The following is a 24,235-nucleotide window of genomic DNA, read 5'->3' on the forward strand; positions in this document are numbered from 1 at the left end:
TTCTTGCATGCTAAGTAGCATGTCATACTACAAACAGGTATTCATCTCTTTCCTTCCAAACAATTGACATTACAACTAACTAGCATAATTCCTACATATAGTTGCTGAATAGGTGAGGGAACTGTGTTAAATGGAACTTAATTATATTACTACCTTGTGTTTTGATGGATAATTTGTTTTAACATAGCTGAATTTTAAACATACTTGTTTGATTCATAGGCTTTCAACTTTTACAGCCTGAGGACTTGCATTAGATATATTGAAAAATCGTTATCAAAACAATAAAAAGACAATTTCTTTTTATATACTTGAAGAAACGATATTTCTCTTCAGTTGGAATGAGATCCACTGTTGCATGAATCACAAGTAGTAGTGTGTTTTATTTTCTAGATAAAAATGTATAGCAGGAGCAAAAGACCATTAAGCAGAGGGTGTAGATTTCCTTTAATGCACGTATTTGGAAAGAGGTGGACAAAAAAAGCCACTGTCTTGGTTTTCTTTGAAGTAAAAATAGTTTTTTAAAAATAATGGTTCTTGTCGTTTTGGGGACTGTAGTCTCTTTTGAAAAAGTAATACAATCTTGAACCTTCTCCTGGGAGTGCGGGGGTGGGGCGGGGGCAGAGAACATTTGTAAATAAGTTATAACATTTGGATTCTGCCCAATTGTTGAAATGCCAGGGACCTCCAATTACAAATTTATGTGTTTGATGATCTTGGTAAAACTGAAATAGTCATAAGCCAGAAGTCGTAGACAACCACCAGTAAAGATGACACATGTGTTTGTAGTGTGGCTGGAACACCCTGTGAAAACCAGCATCTGTGTCTTCTAAAGCCTGTATTGTACAGATGTTCTCCATTCTGTGTTAGAAAAAGAATAGTCATTAACTTCTTTTGTAAATGTCCTCCATACTTTTATTTTTATCTTTTAAATTTTATTTCTAATAGAGATAGGGTCTTGCTATATTGTTCAGGCTGGTTCCGAACTCTGGGCTTGAGCGATCCTCCCAGCTTGTCCTCCCACAGTGCTGGGATACAGGCTCACTAGCTACTGCACATAGCCTTTTTTTTCTTTTGAAATTTTATTTACCTGCATAGTTTTACATCTACCTTTAAAACTCATGAGAAACAATAAAATTTTATTATGTAAAAAAGCTTTTTGATTAGCAAAATTTTTTATCGTAAAAGCTGAATGGGGGGGATGTAAGAGGTCAATTTACTGTTCACTTGGCTTTTGGGTATTTAGGTTTTTCTGTAGTAAATGGGTATTGGATCCCTTTGGAAGATGGCATAGTTTATTGTAATTCTGTTATGGTTTTGCGAATTCGAGCCTAGAAAGAGTTATCTTAACATCTGTTTCACTGTGGTTAGTTCCTTAATCCACCTGCCTTCATCCTGGCTCAGAACTAAAAAGGTTAAAGTATGCAGTAAGATTTTTGTGCTGCCACTTGGAAGTAGTATTAATTAGTAGCTGCTCTATCAAGCATTCTTTTGCTTAGCAGTAAGCAAACTTAGGAGATTTTATTACAATGCTGTTTTTTTAGGTTTTATTTTATTATAATGCCTTTTTAAAAAAAATTAGGCTAATAAGAAAAATCTTATGGCCTCAAAAAGTATTCTACTTTTTCTGAAAAATATATGAGCAGTATGTATATTTAGCTATAAAAACTACATAGAATACCCATTTTTTTTTAGAGATTAGCTTAAGAAACCTAAGTCTTTTATAGCAAGCTGTTACAGATTTGTGTGAGTTCTCATTTTTGTTGTTGTTGTTGTTGTTGTTGTTGTTTGTAACATGAGGGCTAAAAGCTTTCCTTAGGATAAAAAGGTTTTCTATCCTTAACTCCTTTAGATGGTTTTTGTTCTTTGGAATTCTGAACTTACCTAGTAGAGGTATGTAGTTATGCCAGTCATCTTACATTCTTTTGAAAGAATAACTTTAAAAACCACAAAGGATGCAGTAATATCTTTTAATTTGTTTGAAAACTTACATTCTGCCTCAGGAACCCTTTTTTAAATTTAATTTTTTATCAAAGTAACACAATCATGATTTTTTAAAAGTCCAATAGTTTCCCAAGAGTTATAAATGAAAAATAGTGCTCCAAACCCTCAGTTCCAATCCCATTCCCCAGAAGAGAAAGAACTATTTATTTTAGTATTTTTTATGACTTATTATTCCGTATTGCTGTTTTAAGACAGTCATCTTCATACCTCATGTTACTTTTGCTTTTTATAAATGTGACGGCAGTTCTTATTCATTCGTATGATTTAAATGAATTTAAGATATTCCTTTGCTCCTTTGACATTTTCCCTTAAATGTACATTTTCTAAAAGTAGAAAAAAATTACATCATTAACAGGTTAATGTGGCTGGGGGGAGTTGAAATGGCAGTTCTTGGAAGGGTTTTGGCACCCTGGATTTTTGTTCTTTGTCAGAACTATAAGGTATAGAATAATTGTGACTTTTGTAGTATTTTGAAATTGCAATCCGATACCCATAAACTGCCATATGTGAGTGTTAAAACAGAAATGTTTTGGTCATTTAGAAGTAAACGTTATGTGTATATACATTTTCATACATGGATACATATAACCTATAATGTGTTTTTTAATACATTTTCATATGTGTGCTTATTTTTACTCCCTCTCAGGCTTATAGCAATAGCTAGTTGACTTGCAAATGTATAATGGAAGCATTAAAAGACTGGATAGGAGGATTGAGCTCTGATAGTTTAAGAATAAGCATAGAGGCTGGGCGTGGTAGCTCACACCTGTAATCCCAGCACTTTGGGAGGCTGAGGTGGGCAGATCACTTGAGCCCAGGAGTTTGAGACCAGCCTGGCCAACATGGCGAAACCCCATCTCTACTAAAATCACAAAAAAATTAGCCAGGAGTGGTGGCACACATCCGTAATCCGCTACTCCAGAGGCTGAGGCACAAGAAATGTTTGAACCCGGGAGGTGGAAGTTGCAGTGAGCTGAGATGAAGCCAGCCTGGGTGACAGAGAGAGACTTTGTCTCCCTCTCCCCCGCAAATAAATAAGTAAATAAAGGAATACAGCGTACAAAAGCCTACTTTATATCTTTAAATTGGTTTTACATTTTGCTTTTCTGATTCTATTGTGAGAATTAGTACTTCTCCAATAGTTGTTGGTCTTTATGAAGTATGAAGACTTAGTAGCTTTGAAGATAAAATTAAATATTCGAATGGCAGTGATGCCACAGTCACTCAGGATTCAAGAAGAAGCATTAGCCAGTGGTGATCCCTACCAGCCCCGTTTCCTCTCTCCTCAACCAGACATAAGAGCTCTTAGGCTGTAACTTTCCTGCCTTGAAATTTAATTCATATTATTTGGTATGTTTCTCTATAGCAGGCAAGTAAAATGAAAAATTAAGATTCAAATATTCTGGAAAGTTGTCTGAGTACCAGGTTGCTCAGCTGTATTTCTGTAAATATACTCAATGTGCAGAAATAATCCTGGAGAGAAGAGAATTTACAATCTACTGAGAAACTGCTTAAATCCAATATTTTTTAAATTGACAGATTATTGTCTATATGAAAATCTTAATGTAGAGAAATATAGGCCATAGGAATGGGTGTTAACCTGCTTGTGCCCTTTCTTCACTAAGGAAAGGCTGAAGGAGAAACCATACTGCTGCTTGTTTTTTTACTTTGATCAATATGATTTCCTGAAAAGGATAGGCAGGGTTACAGGGAAGGAGAGAAGCACAGTCCTAGGATAAGCTTTGCAGCTCTTTCAAGTCAATGAAGCAGAGAGAAGTATTTGGTTAACTCATTAAAGATGCCTCAACTACAGTGCTTTACATTGAGTCAGTTCCTTTTTATTTTGGTCTGATTTTCAGAAGCAATGATTTACATAGAAGCCAGCAAACTGAAGGAACTTCCAGATAGTGCCCAGGTAAACAGTGTGGATAGTTAAGAATCCAGCCTATTCTTCTATGCCTGGACTACTATCCAGGCACAGTAGTCTTAAATAAAACAATCATAATTAGAAGAAATCAGCTTTGTCTTAGGAAATTAAACATAAGACTCTTGAGATGAGGGATCAGAGGTAAACTGATAAAACAACAGAAGGTGAAAAGGGAACTGACAGAACAGAAAAAAAAAAGAAAGGATAAATAATGATTTTGTAGAACTTCAAACCATGTTGATAGCAGAAAGAAATAGAGCAGGCATTACAGAAAATAGGTCTGGAAGACAGGAAAAGGACAAAGAAGTAAGTAGCAACTGGTAAACATGGAGGACAAATTAAGAGACTGGATGCAAACCAAACATATTCTTAACAACTAAAGGATCTTGAGGTAATTAATATCCAAATGACATTTCAAAAGAGAAAGTTAAGTGCTTAGAATAAAGCCTAGTGGAACTGCTAAAGTTCAAGAATAAAGAAAGAAGAAAATGAGAAAATTATTTTGGCCAGACTTCCTCAGTAACAACAGGTAACAAGAAAATAGAACACTATCTCTATATGAATATTGAGGAGGGAAGGGATTTTGGCCAAAGTGAGCAGTTGAACACATTTAAACATTAGAATTATGTCTAAGTAGTTGGAGGTGATCAAGTTTATGAGACAAAAAACAGTTATCATTCTTGAAAGAAAGGCTACATGATATAAAAACAATGGGCCGGGCACGGTGGCTCATGCCTATAATCCCAGCACTTTGGGAGGCTGAGGCGGGCAGATTACAAGGTCAGGAGTTCGAGACCAGCCTAAACAATATGGTGAAACTCTGTCTCCACTAAAAATACAAAAATTAGCTGGGCGTGGTGGCAGGCGCCTGTAGTCCCAGGTACTTGGGAGGCTGAGGCAGGAGAATCGGTTGAACCTGGGAGGCGGAGGTTGCAGTGAGCCGAGATTGCACCATTGTACTCCAGCCTGGGTGACAAGAGCGAGACTTTGTCTCAAAAAAAAAAAAAAAAAAAAAAAATTAGTGAAAAAATTATATAAAACTGTAATCAACTGGGAAGAGCTTTAGGAAGTTCTGACCAAAACCAAAGGGATGATCAATGTATTATTTAAGTTTTATAAATTAAGAAATGTATTTAAGTATTAATTACATAGGCCACTCCTAGTAAAACTAAATTAGATTTTAGTAATTTCCAAATAAACATTGTGGAGTCAGGGGTGAATGGACCATATAATAAATACAGATCAGAACAAATACATGAAACTTTGGTAAAAGAAAAAGATTTCTGGGCCTACTACCCCCAAGAATATGAGTGGATTTTTAGCTTCCCACTCATATTTCATTTAAAATACTTAGCAGTATTTGAAAGTTCCTTTGGTGGCTTCTAGAATGGATCAAAAAGCTATAAACTCCAAGCCACATGTAGTGGTGTGCACGTATAGTCCCACCTATACTCAAGAAGGTGAGGCGAGAGGATCTCTTGAGGCCAAGAGTTCAAGGCTGTATGCTATTATTGCATATGTGAAAAACTGCTGTGCACCAGCCTGGGCAACATAGTGAGACCCTAACTCATTTTTTTTAAAAAAGGTATTAACTCCAATATACGCTATTTTTAAAAATGCTGCAAACTCCAGTACATGCTATCTAAAGCACAGGAATTCAGATTGATAGTAAAAGTGTTGATGTGATCGGACCCAACACCAGGCTGTGGGGGCGACAAAGTCCAGCGGAGTCAAAGGAATGAGAAAAGACAAGAGACAAAGTGGGACCAGGGGGCCAACGCTAGTATGGAGGCTGCGAAGGCCTGGAGCTCTGGGAGCCCACGCTATTTATTGGTGATCAAACAAAGAAACAGGTGGTGAGGATGTGGGGGTTAAAAGGAAGCGGTGTATCAAGCGAATGAGCTACAGCTGTGAGGGTTTAGCATTTTCTTTGAAACATATGGCTAGTTGAGATAATGGGAGTGCTAGAAGTAAGGAGCCAGCAGTCTAGCAGGCATGCAAGCCCTGCCTCAGCTTCTCTCCCGACACTCAGCTTTTCTCCCAACAAAAAGAACTTGAAATACCTGAGAATAAAGTTACTGGAAGATGTGCAGGATCCACATAGTGAAAAAAAGTTATAAAACTATTGAGAGACTGAATAGGAATTGGAATTAAGTAAATTAAAAGATACTTTGTTCTTGGCTAGGAAGACAATATTATAGAGTCAATTCTTTCAGTCAGTTTACTCTTGATATAATTGTAGTAAAAGTTCCAAGAGGATTTGAAAAAAAAATTAATGATTGTACTTAACTTGAAAAAACAAATATGGAAGAACAGAGAAAATTCTGTGAGAAGAATGATAAAGGGATCTTTGTCAAATATTGAGAATTTATCGACTACAAGAGCAGACAAATTAGTGGAATAGAATGGAGAGTCCAGGAATAAACTTGTCTAAATAGGAAATTTGGGTATATAGTGAACAGATCAGTGGGGAGAGTTAGATTAGTCAGTTACTCTTTAAGAAGAAACTAAGTGCTTGTAACATGCCTGTAGACATTAAGGGCTCCAGGAATAATAAAGTAGTCCTCATGGGGTTTACATTCTAGCAGAGCAAACATAAAGAGTGATTACAGTTAGTAATGTTGTAAGTGCTGCAAAGGACTGCAGAGTAACAATGGGATGTAATTCAAGGGAACCTTATCTAATGGGGGTGGAAGTGAGGAGCTGTCAGAGATCAGTTATTTGAGGAAGCTGGGTGTAAGCTGGAACCTAAAGGTGGGAAAAAGTGTTTCCAATAGATGAAACAACCCTTCAATAAGTGATTAGATTTTTGGATTGAAATGAAATGGAATCCTGGCTTTACTCCTTATTACGCAAAAATAAATCAACAGTTTTAATGGAAACAATTTAAAGGTGAGATCTAAATCATTAATGAATTTCCATTAAAAAATCTTTGGGTATAGAGGTCTTTTAAAGTGTGATATGAACTGCAGAAATCACAGTGGAGTAGCACGATAAATGTGCCTACATAAAAATTTTAAAGTGGTAATTAAACACTATTAAAGAAGGTTGAAAGACAAGAAAGAAATGAAAGAAAGCAACCCATGAAACAAAGATTTACTCTTCCTCTTTGCATACTGAACTTAATAGGGAATAAGATCACCACAGAAAAATGTGTTCACCTTCACTAATAAATAAATAAATACAAGTTAAGTCTAGGTATTTTTCCCTATCTGATGGGCTAAGATTTTAATCTAGGATTATTTATATGTGGCACATTTAAATGTCCTTCAGAATAACATTGGTTGGATATATTATAGTAAATAACTACAGTGGAATATTGTGCAAAAATGAAAAATGTAGACATTTAAAGACAAAGGTGTCTGTTAGATATTGTCTAGTGAAAAAAGCAGGTTATAAATCTGGACTAGGGTGTTACTTATATGAAATTAGGGACACATGTCTGTGTGGCTGTATACTCATAGAATGCTGTCTAGAATGTTAACCAAAGTATGAGAGTCATTAGTTCCCTGTTGTCAAATTTTGGATGACAGAAGTTTGTCTTGTCTTGGGAGCATGAATATTTTTATAAAACAAGGTGTTTAGCTGGTTTATGAATTGATATTTAGTGTTAATCTCTTATGCTTTCAGTTTTTCAGGTAAAACTTGGTATTTTATATTATCTTTTTTTTTTTTTTTAAATTTGAGACAGTCTCGCTCTGTCACCCAGGCTAGAGTGCAGTGCAGTGGCACCATCTTGGCTCACTGCAACCTTGCCTCCTGGATTCAAGCGGTTCTCATGCCTCACCCTCCTGAGTAGCTGGGATTAGAGGCACCTGCCACCGCGCCCAGCTAATTTTTTTGTATTTTTAGTAGAGATGGGGTTTCACCATGTTGGCCAGGCTGGTTTTGAACTACTGACCTCAAGTGATCCACCCACCTCAGCATCCCAAAGTGCTGGGATTGCAGGTGTGAGCCACCGCGGCGCCTGTAATCCCAGCTACTCGGGAGGCTGAGGCAGTAGAATCGCTTGAACCTGGGCGGCAAAGGTTGCAGGGAGCCGAGATGGCGCCACTGCACTCCAGTCTGGGCGACAGAGTGAGACTGTCTCAAAATTGTAGGAAAGCATTTGATTTTCTGCTTTAAATATATTCTGATTATCTGAATCATCAGAGACATTAATTTTCTATTTGTATGAGTTCCTGACAACTTTTAACTTTCTGATAATCCTCCTTTTTATAATGTGTTGGCATTTCGATTGATAATATGATTATTTCATTGAACTATGCTGTAGTCAAAGTATTTATAAAAAAGATATTTATTTATTAGTCTTAGGAGAAGTGATATGGTTTGTTCTCATTTGAATGATTTTTCTGGAGGTACAGTAAGATATAGTAGCCTTTGACACAAAGCCTAAACAAGACCTTAATTAAAAATATTGGAAATTTCTTTTGAGTATTGATTACTTTTAAAATTGAAAATCTCCTGTTTGTATATAAAGAGCATTATAGTTACTGTAATCTGGGCTTTACAACCCAAAAAGTAATTGACCAGATTGCACATTAATATTTTTGCTGGTTATATTGGTTTTACAGATTGAAAAGTTTTTTTTTTTTTAATATCTATTGCTTTTCCCTTTTGAATAGTAAGCTGTTTCAGGAGGCCAGGGAACATGTCTCATCTGAATTAATTGGAAACATTGTGCTAAGTATTTACTGTTATCTTAACCACCTCAACCCACCTTAAGGTCTGCTCTACTATCTTCTGTCCAGAGGTTTGCTATTTAGTTAAAACTCTAGGTAGTACTTGGCATATATATACTCTTGATGTCTTAGATATGGAACTACTCTATATTTAGATACATATTTTATGAAAAGCTAATATGTAATTTATTTTATATAAAATGTTTGAAGATACACTTCTTTGTTTTATTCCTCCTCCTTTCTCAGTAAATTAAAAATATTTCAAAATAATGTTTAGAAAGCAAGTCTATTATGTAAAATGAGACACGTAATAATTATATTTTTAAGATGATTTGTGCAGTAAGATAAATGCTTTACTGAAGCTAATATGTTTAAATTGCTTTAACTAAAATTATTAATAAAATGAATTCATTTGTATAAAATACAGCCTACCCATGTAAAATATTACTCTTCATAGGTACCCCAGCAACAGCACAACTTTAATCCTTAAGTTTTAGTTGCAGTACTGTTAAAATACTAATAGCTTAATTTCCCAAGATTCAGTTATTTAAAACCAAAGTTTAGGGGGAAAAAGGCAGCAAAACTCAGTCTACTAGTTTACATACATACACACACACACACACACACTCATATATATGAGAGTAGACTGAATTTTTGCTGTTTGCAATATATATATATATGCACATGTATACACACACCTTTATTTGCTATAATTTGTACCATGTAGCTTTTATTTCCTCTGAATAAAAAGGTTGTTATCTTGTTTTATTTTAATTCAACTTCTTGCTTTTCCCTATAGAAAGTCAGGTTTTTGGAGAGCTCTAACAGTGTGCAAGTTGCTGGGCTCTTATCCTTTCTGTTTAAATAATGCAGGTACTTTGATGGAAACCTGGAGAAGCTCTTTGCTGAGTGTCATGTAATTAATCCAAGTAAAAAGTCTCGAACACGCCAGATGAATACAAGGTCATCAGCACAGGATATGCCTTGTCAGATCTGCTACTTGAACTACCCTAACTCGGTGAGTATCTGGTAGTTTAAGGCTAGTGCTGACTTTGTATTTCAGAGGGTAAATCAACTTCCATTATTTAAACAAAGGAAAATTTGTGGGTCTGGGAGTAGTAACCTCTAAGCCATAACCTATCAATGTATTCAGTGTGAGGAAAGGAAGAAAAAGAGTAAAAGCTTGGTTCCTCTTACCTCCAACCCCCATTTGTTTTTTAAAGCAGCAACAACTTGTCCAAGTTGTCATTTATAGACCTAAATCTTTCTGGAGTTTATTCTATCACCATGGGAGAATTGTGTAATAGTAGGCAGTAAGTAGAATTCTTTCTCATCCAAATTAAAATAGATTTAAACTTTAAGTGTTTTTTAAATATCCAGAAACACTCATAAAATACCGTTAATACTATTTGCTAGGGAACTCTCAGAATTCTTCAGAAGATAAGATTTTCACTTAATCAAATCCATTCAAATGGAGATTGTTAAATATGGTATGTGGGGACAGAGTTGGAGCAGAACCAGTGATATAGCAAGAGAACCAAAGAACTGATGTTAATCCCTTAAGTACAAATAACCTTCCTAAAAATTTATTGAACTGAAGCTGGACTCAGTGGCTCATGCCTATAATCCCAGCACTTGGGGAAGCCAAGGTGGGCAGATCACTTGAGGCCAGGAGTTTGAGGCCAGCCTGGCCAACATGGCGGAAACCTGTCTCAACTAAAAATACAAAAAAATTATCCTGGCATGATGGTGCATGTCTATAATCCCAGCTACTTGGGAGGCTGAGGCATGAGAATTGCTTGAGCCTGGAAGGCAGAGGTTACAGTGAGCTGACATCATGCCACTGTATTCCAGCCTGGGCGACAGAGTGAGACTCCGTCTCAAAATATAAAATAGAATTTACTGAACTGAGATGATTTACTTACTTGATTTACTTGAGTGTTTACTAAGGAAGTTTAGTCTTAAGATGTCTAAGATAACTTAATTCTATGATAATTACAACTGTCTTGTTCATATTCTCTGCTTTAATAGTTAAGCATCTCTTTCTAATAATTACTATATAACAAGTCTTTGACACTGTTATTTTAACAATTATTTGGTTGATGGGGGTCTCACTATGCTACCCAGGCTGGAGTGTTATGGCTATTCACAGGCACAGTCAGTGTACTACAGCCTTCATCAGACTCTTGGGCTCAAGTGATCCTTTTCCCTCAGCCTCCCAAGTAGCTGGAACTACAGACGTGCACCATCAAGCCTGGCTAATATTATATTTATATTGAAGGATTTTTATTGTTTATCTTAGAGTTGTATATGTGTATCTCTAATGGGGTCCATTTGTGGGGAGTTAACTTGTTCACATGTACAAGTGATGAGAAAAGTTTTAAAAGAAAATAAAGTACTCTTAGAGAAATAGAATGATCAGTGAGTTATTTAGTAGGTAAAGTGGTGAACTGAATTTTCAAATTCTCAAGTTCTGATCGTAACTCTAACGTGAAATTTTTGGCTTTAGCGGGAGGTAAGCCATTTAATGTCACTGGGTTTTTCTTTTTTCTTTCTTTCTTTTGAGACGGCCTTGCTCTGTTGTCTAGGCTGGAGTGCAGTGATGTGATCACTGCAGCCTCAAACTCCTGGGCTCAAGCGATCCTCCCACCTCAGCCTCCCAAGTAGCTGGGACCACAGGCGCATGCCACCATGTCTGGCTGATTTTTCTGTGTGTGTGTGTGTGTGTTTTGTTTGTTTTGTTTTGTTTGTTTGTTTTTTTTGTAGAGACGGGGTTTCACCTGTGTGTGTGTGTTTTGTTTGTTTGTTTGTTTTGGTTTTTTTGTAGAGACGGGGTTTCACCATGTTGCCCAGGCTGGTCTGGAACTTGTCTGAGCTCAAGCAGTCTGCCCACCTGGCCTCTGAAAGTGCTGGCATTATAGGTGTGAGCCACCACGCTCCTCCAGTTTTGGTTTCTTCTCCTTTTCTTTTCTTTTCTTTTTTTTTGGAGGGGGGGGGGTGGGACGGAGTCTTGCTCTGTCGCCCAGGCTGGAGTGCAGTGGTGCGATCTCGGCTCACTGCAAGCTCCGCCTCCCAGGTTCATGCCATTCGCCTGCCTCAGCCTCCCGAGTAGCTGGGACTACAGGCGTCTGCCATCACGCCTGGCTGATTTTTTGTGTTTTTAGTAGAGACGGGGTTTCACCATGTTAGCCAGGATGGTCTCGATCTCCTGACCTCATGATCTGCCCGCCTCAGCATGCCAAAGTGCTGGGATTACAGGCGTGAGCCACCGCGCCTGGCCTCTTTCCTTTTCTCTTTTTTTTTTGACACGAGTTTTGCTCTTGTTGCCCAGACTGGAGTGCAATGGCACAGTCTTGGCTCACTGCAGCCTGCGCCTCCTGGGTTCAAGTGATTCTCCTGCCTCAGCCTCCCGAGTAGCTGGGACTACAAGCGCCGGCCACCACACCCGGCTAATTTTTGTATTTTTAGTAGAGACGGGGTTTCACCATATTGGCCAGGCTGGTCTTGAACTCCTGACCTCAGGTGATCCACCCACCTTGGCCTCCCATAGTGCTGGGATTACAGGTGTGCACCACCGCACCCAACAGTTTCTTTTTTCTTTCTGATGAGTTGAATAAGATACTCTTTCAATTTTCTTCCAACCTGAGTATTGTATCATTTCTCTTACCTTAAATCACAATTCTAATTTGAATATTTTTTAAAAAGTACTACTGTTACAATATATTAATATTTTGACTATTTTATTGTCTTTAACAGATTCTCCTTGCCAGTTGACATTTATATAGTGCTTACAGTTAAATGTTTCTGTGAGGTAATACTAAGACCCAGGTTTTACAAGGTTTCCTTACTTCTTGGCGTTTTTCCTCCTGCCCTATCATAGACAGTTCCTTCTTAACTTAAATCTTAACTCTGATTTGAGTACTGAAGCTTGGCTGCTTCCAAATATCCACTATAACTTTCTCGCTGTTCTTAATATGGTCTAACAATCTCAACAAACTAGAATTCAAAATCATGACTTGAGATTTACAGTGTAAATTTTTGTTTTGTACTTGTAACTGATGATGGAGAAACCTATTCATTGAACACACTAGGCACTATTCTAAGAAACAATGGAGAATAAATACATAATTCCTAACCAGATAATTTGCAGGTTAGTTGGGTAGATAAGTAGTAAGGTGACATATTCAGAAAGAGTGGTAAGTGCTTTGGTAGGGCAAATATAAGATACGATACTGTGGGAACGTGTTGGAGGGATACCTAACCCAGTTTTTGATCAGGCAGGACTTACCACAGAAATCTGAACTAACATCTGAAGGCATGGTAGTTAGGCTAAGGAGGAAAATGTAGCAAGTCCAAGGAAGAGAGAATGTACTTTCAAGAACTGGGGGATGGTAAATAGTACTAAAAGATTCAGAGAAAAGATTTAAAAAGTTAATTTGAAATGAAATGAAGGAGTGAGGTAGGATGGGAAACCAGACTTCATGGGCTAAAGAGTCACTGACTTGAAGGTGGGAAAGGAAATGGAAGCAATAAATGTAATGAAATTACTCTTTTACAAGAAATTTCACTATGCAAGTGATAGGATAAGATAGCAAAAGGAACAACATGGGTTGGCAAGTAAGGTAAGGCATTATGGAAACTGCTAAGTGTTCCGAAAAGTATCATGACAAAACTAGGATGTCCTTTCCTCATAATTTTTAGACTCATATAGAAGGATAATTTTAACCTCTTCAGTTTTGGAAGTAAATGTCACCTGAAACTCTTCATAAAGTTTTATTATTGGATGAGTGAGTTCTTCACTTACATTGTATAACTCCCACATTTTACTACTCTCCAAGCATTTGTACTTTTTTATTATATATATCTTCAGTATCTTTATCCTTCCAGAAAGCAATTTTTGCTTTATGCAGTGTCACATGCACATTTTAAAATAAGTGCTTTTGATAGCTTAGTTTACAACCCTTTGGAGTTAACTGTCCTGAGTGGCTGCTTCTTTCAAAACAATGTCCTGAGACATTGGAGCACTTTGTAAATTCATAGATTCCAACTTAATGTTTTAGGTTAAAGTAGTTAAGATAATAGCTGTACTGGCCCACCACTGTGCTAGGAAATGTAGCTTCGACTACAGCGTCTCTCTCTCTCTTTTTTTTTTTTTTTTTGAGGCAGAGCCTTGCTCTGTCGCCCAGGCTGGAGTGCAGTGGCATGTTCTCGGCTCACTGCAACCTCCACCCCGCAGTTTCAAGCGATTCTCCTGCCTCAGCCTCCCGAGTAGCTGGGATTACAGCCGCCCACCACCACACCTGTCTAATTTTTGTATTTTTAGTAGACATGGGGTTCCACCATGTTGTCCAGGCTGGTCTCCAACTCCTGACTTAAGGTGATCCACCCACCTTGACCTCCCAAAGTGCTGGGATTACAGGAGTGAGCCGCCACGGCCAGCCAGTGTCTCATTTTTATGAAGTAAATAATTTGTATTTTCTAAGAATAAGATATGTGAAGTAGGTAAAGGCAGAGTTGAAATTGTGAGGAAGGGTGGTCCACCATCCCGTCCCCCATTCCTGAAGCCCCTCTGTGGAATCTTGGTGCTGCTGGAAACTGCTTGAAAATACCTACGTCCCACCCTATTTTCCTTTTAACACATTACATTTTACACACAAGGGAACCGATTCCCAGGTCATTTGTTCAATTTTTATAAACAAAGGGGTTTCAATTTTAGAGGTTATATGGACAACTTATTATGGAAGAAAGATTCTTAATTTTCTTACTGCTATTTGACATTAGTTGCTGTGTATGTAAAGTGATGCAGATAAATGAAACCTTTAAGAGTGTATTCTTAAGTTTCTTTAAGTCCATTAATTTCTTTTGTAGATAATATTTCATGTATTTTTCGTGTACTCTCTTGATCGGATGTATTTGTGATATAAACAGGGATAAGTTTAGTGAATAGATAATATGATCCCCTGGGACAGGGGAAAGCCCAGGGAGCCATGTAGGTGAACCTAGCTCAAGGTTATGAGGAAACGAATATATCAGAGGAGGGAGAGGGAAAGGGAAGTAAGACAGACAGGAAGATATCTGCGATAATAATATGTTCCTCGAAAGCACAATGAATATGTATCTTTAGACTACAGATTTGTGTCTTGGTTTTTGGTGTTTTTATTTTTTTGCTCTATCTTTAGACATCCATGTATGATTTATTTTTCTAACTTGTTTAATCTTGTTATCTGATTAGAGAAGTTATTTAAAAAGAATAAAAAGCTTTTATCTGTGTGCTGAAGTTGTAACAAGGTTGAGAGAGGTGCATCTCACACGAGTGTGATTACATTTATGAACTATCTTTTTATCTTAAAATGAGCTCTAGACTAGAAGTCAAAAAAGGTTGAGACTTAAAGTGATCACTTAGTAACCATTGTGACCGTTGATCTCTGTTAAGGATTCCTACTTGAAAAAAGAATGAAGCACATATAAGCATGTGTATATGTTTTTAAGTTTTGAATAAAACATTTTAGAGTTGCTGATATATTTACTGTATTTGTGTCTTTTACAGAATACCCCTTCCTTTAACAGCCTTAAAAATCAAAGACTCCATTAGTGATGTGGTAACAAGTTAGTGCCAAATCTCCTTCTCTGATGGGGAGTAATGATAATAGATTCCCTTTAAGCTTGATATTTATTTTACATGTCATTCTTTCAGTAAACCTAATTGCAGGACTGATACACTTCATATATATATATATTTTAATGAGATGAAGTCTCACTCTGTTGCCCAGGCTGGAGTGCAGTGGTGTGATCTCGGCTTACTGCAACCTCCGCCTCCCGGGTTCAAGTGATTCTTCTGCCTCAGCTTCCCGAGTAGCTGGGATTATAGGTGTGTGCCACCATGCCCAGCTAACTTTTGTAGTTTTAGTAGAGACAGGGTTTCACCATGTTGGCCAGGTTGGTCTTGAACTCCCGACCTCAGGTGATCCGCCTGCCTCAGCCTCCCAAAGTGCTCGGATTACAGGCACGAGCCACTGTACCCAGCCCTCTCATAGATTTCTTTTCATGTCCTTGTCTTTGTATTTAAAAAATATAGTTGATGTGCTGTATATAGAATTTCTGTCCTAACGAGATATTTGTATCTAATATCATAAGTAACATCAGAAATTTTATAAGTACATGTCACATAATGGCTAAATAGAAAATCTAAGGGAATTTTAAAATACCCTTTATAAGAGCCACGAAAGGAAAGAATAAAAGAGCTAGGAATAAACTTGATAAGAAATGTGAAAGATTGCTATGAAGAAAACTTCAAATACTAAGATAAAAGAATGACTTGAATATTTGAGATAGAAGAAATAGGAAAATATTGAAAAAGAAGATTAAATTGACAGGGGAGAGCTGAGTGAGGACTAGTCCTGCTAGATACAAGAGTAGACAGAGCGGTGGAACAGGATAGAGTCAAATATGCATGAGGAGAATTTAGTGTATTACAGAGGAGGCATTTCAAATAAGGTGTATTATTTGATACATGGTAGCAGTGGAACAGGATACAGTCAAATATGCATAAGGAGAATTTAGTGTATTATAGAGGAGGCATTTCAAATAAGGTGGATTATTTGATACATGGTGTTAGAGCAACTTGGTAGCCATATGGAATAGAAACTTAAGATTCCTACCTAGCTTCATAAATAAAAGTTAATGAATTCACAAGCGGTAAATTTAAACGGTGATAAGTTTCACTGTGAGTGAAGAGCTTCTGTATGGCAACAAAATATGAACACTAAGAATTAAAGTGGGGGAAAAGATTTCCCCTACTTATAAATGGCCAATTTCCTACATAAGTAAAAAGCCTCCGTAAATAAGTGAAAAACCCACAGGCAAAGTTGGCAAAATATATCAAGAGAGTATACAGAAAAAGAAATATACAGTGTAAAACCTTTTTTGAAATATTATAATTTCATTTATAATAAAAATTCAAATCAAAACTAAAGAAGTTAGTGTGTTTTTCACCTATTAGATTGGCAAAGATCAAGGAGTTGGATCATATACTACATTGTCATGGGCATGAGAAATCAAGTACTCTTGCACGGCATAAATGACGACAATCTCTTTGCAGGGGAGCCTGATGATAGCTATTAGATTGTAAATGTATATATTTATTATAATGTCACCTCTACAGATTTGTCCTAAGATACATTCATAAGATCACAAAGATGTATATATAGTCAATGCAGTAGTATAGTAGGAAAAAAAAAGGCAGTGTAAAGGTTCATTAATAGTAGACTATAAATAAAATTGTGGTACCTTTCTATAAAGAGGCAAACCCACACCAGTGTGGTACCATATGAGAAATCCATTGGATTTATTTTTGTTTTTTTAAGACGGAGTCTTGCCCTGTCATCAGGCTGGAGTGCAAAGGTGCGATCTTGGCTCACTGCAACCTCTGCCTCCCGGGTTGAAGGGATTCTTCTGCCTCAGTCTCCTGAGTAGCTGGGATTACAGGCATACACTACCACACCTGGCTAGTTTTTTTGTATTTTTGATAGACACAGGGTTTCGCCATGTTGGCCTGGCTGGTCTCAAACTCCTGACCTCAAATGATCTGCCCGCCTTGGCCTCCCAAAGTGCTGGGCTTACAGGCGTGAGCCACCGTGCCCAGCCCTATTGGATTTTTTTAAACAACAACAACAAAAAAAAACAAGGTGCAGAAGAGAATTTGTGGTACTGTTACAGTGTGTGTGTAAGTGTGTACGTTAGAACACCTCTGGAAGAATATGTAAAAAACTGGAAATAGCAGTTGCTTCTGGGTAGAGGAAACAAACAACAGGGATGGGAATGAGGGAGGCCTGTTTTTTTTTTTTTTTGAGACAGAGTCTCGCTTTGTCACCCAAGCTGGAGTGCGGTGGTGCGATCTTGGCTTACTGCAACCTCCATCTCCTAGGTTCAAGCGATTCTCCTGCCTCAGCCTGCCAAGTAGCTGGGACTACAGGTGCCTGCCACCACACCTGCCTAATTTTTGTATTTATAGTAGAGGCAGGATTTTGCCATTTTGGCCAGGCTGGTCTTAAACTCCTGACTGTAAGTGATCCGCCCACCTCTGCCTCCAGTAGTGCTGGGATTACAGGTGTGAGCCACCGCACCCGGCCTAGGGAGGCTTATTTTTCAACATAAACTCTGAACTTGTACTGTTAAAGTAATTGTTTTTAGTAATGTCTATTTAACTTACTCAATTAAAAATAATTTAGAGGTAAATTATGGCAAAATGTTCTTTAAAATAAGGTAACCATTATTTGAATCTTTTTAAAAGACATAATCCTCCAGATCATCTAATATTATTTAAAGTATTTACTTAATGTCCCATTACAGGATACTGCTTCATTTAACGATCCCTTAACTCTTAAGATTTTAGAACAAAGTGTTAGTTACTATTATCCTTAGCTATTCTGAATAAATCTTTTCATAACAGGTTTATTGAGATATAATTTATATACTATCCAGTTCACCCATTTAAAGTGGTTTTAGTATATGCTACAGAGTTGTGTGCCATCGCCATAATTTTAAAAACATTTTATAACCCCCCAGGAGATAACTTTTTAAATTCACCCCCTAATTCCTCCCAAGTCCCCCAGCCCCTAGGCAACTGCTCATCTGTTTTCTTTGTCAATGGATATACCTATTCTGGACATTTCATATGAAAGAATCAAACAAGGTTTTGGTACGGTGGCTCACGCCTGTAATCTCAGCGCTTTGGGAGGCCGAGGTGGGTGGATCACGAGGTCAGGAGTTGGAGGCCAGCCTGGCAATATGGTGAAACCCTGTTTCTACTAAAAATACAAAAATTAGCTGGGCGTGGTGGTGCGTTTCTGTAGTCCCAGCTATTTGGGAGACTGAGGCAGAAGAATCACTTGAACCTGGGAGGCGAAGGTTGCAGTGAGCCGAGATGGTGCCATTGCACTCCAGCCTAGGTGACAGAGTGAGACTCTGTCTCAAAACAAAAAGAATCAATATGTGATCTTTTATGACTGGCTTATTTTCATTCTTTTACAAGAAATTTCACTGTGCAAGTGATAGGAGAACAACCTTGGAAACAAGGTTCATCTATATTGTGGCATTTATCAGTACTTTATTTCCTTTTATGGCTGAATAATATTTTATTTATGGAAATATGGAAAAATATTTTTTTCTTCAGTTGATGGACATCTGGATTGTTTTCATTTTTTGGCTGTTACGAATAATGCTATAATGAACACTTGTGTACAAGTTTTTGTATGGATGTATGTTTTCATTTCTTTTGAGTATATACCCAGGATTAGAATTGCTGGGTCCTATGGTAACTCTATGTTTAATATTTTGAGGAACTGCCTGATTGTTTCCAAAGTTGCTGTACCATTTTACATTTCCATCAACAGTGTACGAAGGCTCCAATTTTTCTACATCCTCACCAACACTTGTTATTAATATTGGCTTTTTTTTTCCAAATAGAGTCTCACTTTGTTGCCTGGTGTGGAGTGCAGTGGCATGATGACAGCTCACTGTAGCCTTGACCTCTCAGGTTCAAGTGATCTTCCCACCTCAGCTCCCCTGAGTAGCTGGGATTACAGGCATGTGCTACCACACCTGGCTAATTTCTTAATTTTTTGTGGAGACAGAGTCTCACTATGTTGCCCAGGCTGGTCTTGAACTCCTTGCCTCAAGTAATCCTCCGCTCTCAGCCACACAAAGTGCTGGGATTACAGATATGAGCCAGTGTGCTCTGCTTTATCTGTCTTTTTATTATAGCTGTTCTAGTGAGGGTGAAGTGGTGTCTTACTGTGGTGTTGCTTTGTTTTGTTTTGTTTTGTTTGAGACAGGGTCTCACTCCTTTGCCCAGGCTGGAGTGCAGTGGTGTGATCTCAGCTCACTACAACCTCCGCCTCCCAGGCTCAGGCAGTCCTTCCACCTCAGCCTCCCAAGTAGCTGGGACTACAGGCGTGCGTCATGATGGCTGACTCATTTTGTATTTTTTGTAGAGACAGGGTTTTGCCATGTTGCCCCGCCTTCATGGTGGTTTTGATTTGCATTTCCATGATGCTGAATGATACTGAGTATTCTTTCATATGCTCATTTGTCTTTTTATATTTAATACAAACATTGTTGCCCGCCTTTCCTAAGATGTATGTGTGTTCGGTGTATCTGCATGTCTAGATTCACCATGAAAAGTTCATTTTAGGAGCCCATCTATTGTCAAATTGGACATTTTAGCCACGTAAGAAATGTGACCTTACAGAGCCCTGTTGAGTCACTGTTTATAGTGAGTTTTCTGATAATACCTTTGTTAAGTTCATGTTTTGTTTTTCTTACAGTATTTCACTGGCCTTGAATGTGGACATAAGTTTTGTATGCAGTGCTGGAGTGAATATTTAACTACCAAAATAATGGAAGAAGGCATGGGTCAGGTAAAGATATCAAGTTGTTTTTCAGTTTTTGTTGAATTTCCTATAGTGTTAAGACCCTTGCACAAATTTGCACAAATAAAAACAGGTGAAGCTTTATGTGTCATGATTCTAGATTCAAACAACTAAAGATAATAGGCTTTTTCCTAAAGTAATGTGGCATTCCAGTTAAAGAGCCACTCCAGGTAACGTTTTCTCAGCCGGCATCAATATTGGTATATGTTAACTTAAACTTGTTGCACGATTTTGTCAGATTATCTCGCTTTTGCCTTTAAAATTGTGTGTTTAAAAACCAATTAGTCAGGTTAGCAAGTCTAGTTACTTTATGGTGATAAACATACTCTCACACACATTTCCTTTAAGGAGAAAGGGAAGGATTGAGATCCTGTAAACATTAAGGTATTCCCAGAACCTAGCAAAGTGCCTGGCGATGGTAAGCATTCATTAAATATTTGTTGAATGAAGACAGTTTAAATTTCAATCTTTTTCAGACTATTTCGTGTCCTGCTCATGGTTGTGATATCTTAGTGGATGACAACACAGTTATGTAAGTATTTTTGATAGATTCTGCATGTGAATATTGGTTAGTTGGTTAAACCAAATTAATTTTTACTTAGTACCTCAAAGGAAGTGAAACTTTTTAAAGTCTGAAGAAACTTTTTAATCTGCGTTCCTTAGTAGTAGTACAAAAGCCCATTTGTAACTTGGTTAAATGCCTGATCACTATTCTTACAAACTTAGAAATGCATGGTAGCTAGATTTTGATAAACCTTGGGATTGGAGATTAGAATGTGTGTATGTGTTAGTTGAGGTGTTCTTGGAAGCAGATCCCAAGATAGAATAAAAGGTGAAACTGACTTATTGTGGAATAGCATCTGTGCAAGGTAAACAGCAGGAGCAGATAGACATTGATATAGGCCTGACATCTGTTAAAAGACAAAGAAGGAAGATTCAATAGGAAGAGACTTTATATGATACAGCTATGAGAGTCTTTGGCAGCCCTGATGGGGGAACTTCAGTGCATAGATTGCCCATAGAGGAATACCTCAATAAGTAGAAAGAGCTGGGCCCAGTACACTTGATATGCTCAGTTGTTGGCTGGGACTACCCAGGGAGTCATGGTCTTTGCTGAAACACTGCTGCTGATTTCAGATACACTACAGCTGGATGCTTTCAGCTAACAGCTCTTCTTGTGAAAGGTTCTTTCTTTTTTTTCTTTTAACTTTTAGGTTCAGGTATACATGTGCAGGTTTGTTACATGGGTAAATTCCTTGTCCGTGAGGTTTGGTGTACAAATGATCCCATCACCCAGGTAGTGAGAACAATACCTGATAGTTTTTCAACTCTTGCCGTCCCACCCTACCCACTCTAGTAGTCCCCAGTCTAAATAGTCTTTTATTCTCATCTTCATGTGTACTCACTATTTAGCTCTCACTTATAAATGAGAACATGTGGTATTGAGTATTTCTGTGTTAATTCATTTAGGATGATGACCTCTAGCTGCATTTGTATTGCTGCAAAGGACATGATTGTGCTCACTTTTTTTTATGACTGCATAGTGTTTCATGGTGTCCATGTGCCACATTTTGTTTATCCAGTCCACTGTTGATGGGCATCTAGGTTGATTTCGTGTGTTTGCTATTGTGAATAATGCCACAGTGAACATACTAGTGAATGTGTCTTTTTGGTAGAATGATTTATTTTCCCTGTGATCTCACCAACATCTGTTATTTTTTTACTTTTTAAAATTATTTTTTGTTTAATTTTTTTTTACTTTTTAATAATATTCCTTATGACTGGTGTGAGATGATGTGGTACATCATTACGGTTTTGATTTGCATTTCTCTAGTGATTAGTGGTGTTGAGCATTTTTTTGTACCTGTTGGCTGCGTATATGTCTTCTTGAGAAATGTCTTTTCATGTACTTTGCCCTTTTTCTTTCTTTTTTTTAAGTGAAAGCAAGTTTATTAGAGAAGTAAAGAAACAAAAGAATGGCTACTTCGTTGACAAAGCAGCCTGCTCATTTTTAAATGGGGTTATTTGTTTTTTGCTTGTTTGATTAAGTTCCTTATAGATTCTGGATATGAGGCTTTTGTTGGGTGTATAATTTTTAAATATTTTCTCTCATTCTGTAGGTTGTCTGTTTACTCTGTTAATAGTTTCTTCAGCTGTACAGAAGCTCATTAGTTTAATTAAGTCCCACTTGTCAATTTTTGCTTTTGTTGCAGTTGCGTTTGGGGACTTAGTCATAAATTCTTTGCCAAGGCTGATGTCTAGAATGGTATTTCCTGGATTTTCTTTTAAGATTTTTATAGATTGAGCTCTTACATTAAAGTATTTAATCCTTTAGTTAATTTTTGTATATGGTGAAAGATATAGGGGTCAAGTTTCATTCTTCTGCATGTGGCTAGCTAGTTATCCCAACAACCATTTATGTGTGTGTGGCTATTATCGATAGGATTGCATTATTAATTTGGCGCTTACCTTGAATGTTATTGGTATATATTAAATGCTACTGAATTTTGTACATTGATTTTGTATCCTGAAATTTTACTGACTTTGTCAGCTCTAGGAGCCTTTTGGCAGAGTCTTTAGGGTTATTTCTAGGTATAGAATCATCATCAGTGAAGATTGATAGTTTGACTTCTTTTCTTATTTAGATACATTTTATTTCTTTCTCTTGCCTGATTGCTCTGGCCAGGACTTCCAGTACTATGTTGAATAGGAGTGGTGAGTGTGGGCATCCTTTTCCTAAGTGGAATGCTTCCAGCCTTTGCCTGTTCAGTATGATGTTGGCTATGGGTTTGTCATATCATAGATGGCTCTTAATGTTTTGAGGTATGTTCCTTCAAAGCCTAGTTTGTTGATAGTTTTTATCATGAAGAGATGTTGGACTTTATTGAAAGCTTTTTCTGTGTCATTTGAGATGATCGTATGGTTTTTAATTCTGTTTATGTGGTGAATTACATTTATTGGTTTGCCCAGGCTGGAGTACAAGTGGCACCATATCGGCTCACTGCAACCTCTGCCTCCCGGGTTCAAGCAATTCTCCTGCCTCAGCCTCCTGAGTAGCTGAGATTACAGGTGTACACCATCACGTCCGGATAAGTTTTGTATTTTTAGTAGAGACAGAGTTTCGTCATGTTGGCCAGGCTGTTCTCGAACTCCTGACCTCAGGCGATCTGCCCGCCTTGGCCTTCCAAAGTGCTAGGATTACAGGCGTGAGCCACCAAGCCTGGCCAATAACTATTTTCAATTTGTGATGGTAACAAATCTTTGTCAAGAGAATTGTCTTATTAATGACCAGAGTGACACTTGCTGCCACCTTCTTGAGAATGCCTATTCTTGAAGATGGATGCTCACTTTCTTTTACTTCCTTATCAATATCAGATAAACTAAGGGTGGAACCTTGTCCTAATAACTGTTGGCTGATGTTTGCTCTCACGTCCTGGTGGTCCATGCCAGGTTTAGATAGCTTTTTAGGCTAAGGCCAGCTATCAGAAATCATTAGGGTTTGTCATACCAGAAAAGCATTATGGGTAATACATGTGTAAATAAGATGTGTGTGTTTGGCAATCAAGGCATCTGACTTTTGGCCTGATACATTCCTTATTATTATTTATTGATATAAAATCTGTAATATAAAACTCATTTTAATTACAGTTATCCTTAGTATACTGGGGATTGGTTCTAGGACCCACGTCCTCCACCCTGAATATACCAAAATCTGCGCATGCTCATGTCAGCCCAGCAGAACCCATGTATACAAAAATTTGACCGTCCATATATGCAGGTTTCACATCCCACAAATAACTATTTTTGATCCCTGTTTGGTTGAAAAATATTCATAAATAAGTGGACCCATGCAGTTCAAACCTGTGTTGTTTAAGAAGCAATGGGGTTTTTTTTGTTTTTTGTTTTTTTAAGATGGAATCTCTCTCTGTTGCCCAGAGTGGAGTGCAGTAGTGGCATGATCTCGGCTCACTGCAACCTCTACCTCCTAGGTTCAAGTGATTCTCCTGCCTCAGCCTCCTGAGTAGCTGGGATTACAGGTGCCTGCCACCATGCTCGGCTAATTTTTTTGTATTTTTAGTAGAGACGAGGTTTCACCATGTTGGCCAGGCTGGTTTTGAACTCCTGACCCCAAGTGATCACCCACCTCTGCCTCCCAAAGTGCTAAGATTACGGGCGTGAGCAACCGCACATGGCCA

The 24,235-nt window shown here is 37.7% G+C and overlaps 1 protein-coding gene across 1 annotated transcript in view, besides 1 other annotated feature; it reads left to right on the forward strand.

Annotated features, from left to right (window-relative positions):
• Nucleotides 1-24,235, forward strand: part of ARIH1 (ariadne RBR E3 ubiquitin protein ligase 1) — a 128,658-nt gene that overhangs the window by 61,007 nt on the left and 43,416 nt on the right. Inside the window, exons 3-5 of the mRNA NM_005744.5 lie at nucleotides 9,484-9,628; nucleotides 19,935-20,027; nucleotides 20,516-20,571. Of these exons, the coding sequence (NP_005735.2) occupies nucleotides 9,484-9,628; nucleotides 19,935-20,027; nucleotides 20,516-20,571 (294 nt within the window). The remainder of the gene's footprint in view (nucleotides 1-9,483; nucleotides 9,629-19,934; nucleotides 20,028-20,515; nucleotides 20,572-24,235) is intronic.
• Nucleotides 5,668-5,868: a silencer, noted in NCBI's record as "peak2380 fragment used in MPRA reporter construct". NCBI's record gives its function as "represses an SCP1 promoter by STARR-seq MPRAs in K562 erythroleukemia cells {active_cell/tissue: K562}" and the evidence as "EXISTENCE:reporter gene assay evidence [ECO:0000049][PMID:32103011]".

The sequence above is a fragment of the Homo sapiens genome, chromosome 15, assembly GCF_000001405.40.
Source record: "Homo sapiens chromosome 15, GRCh38.p14 Primary Assembly".
NCBI classification, from domain to species: Eukaryota; Metazoa; Chordata; class Mammalia; order Primates; family Hominidae; genus Homo; species Homo sapiens.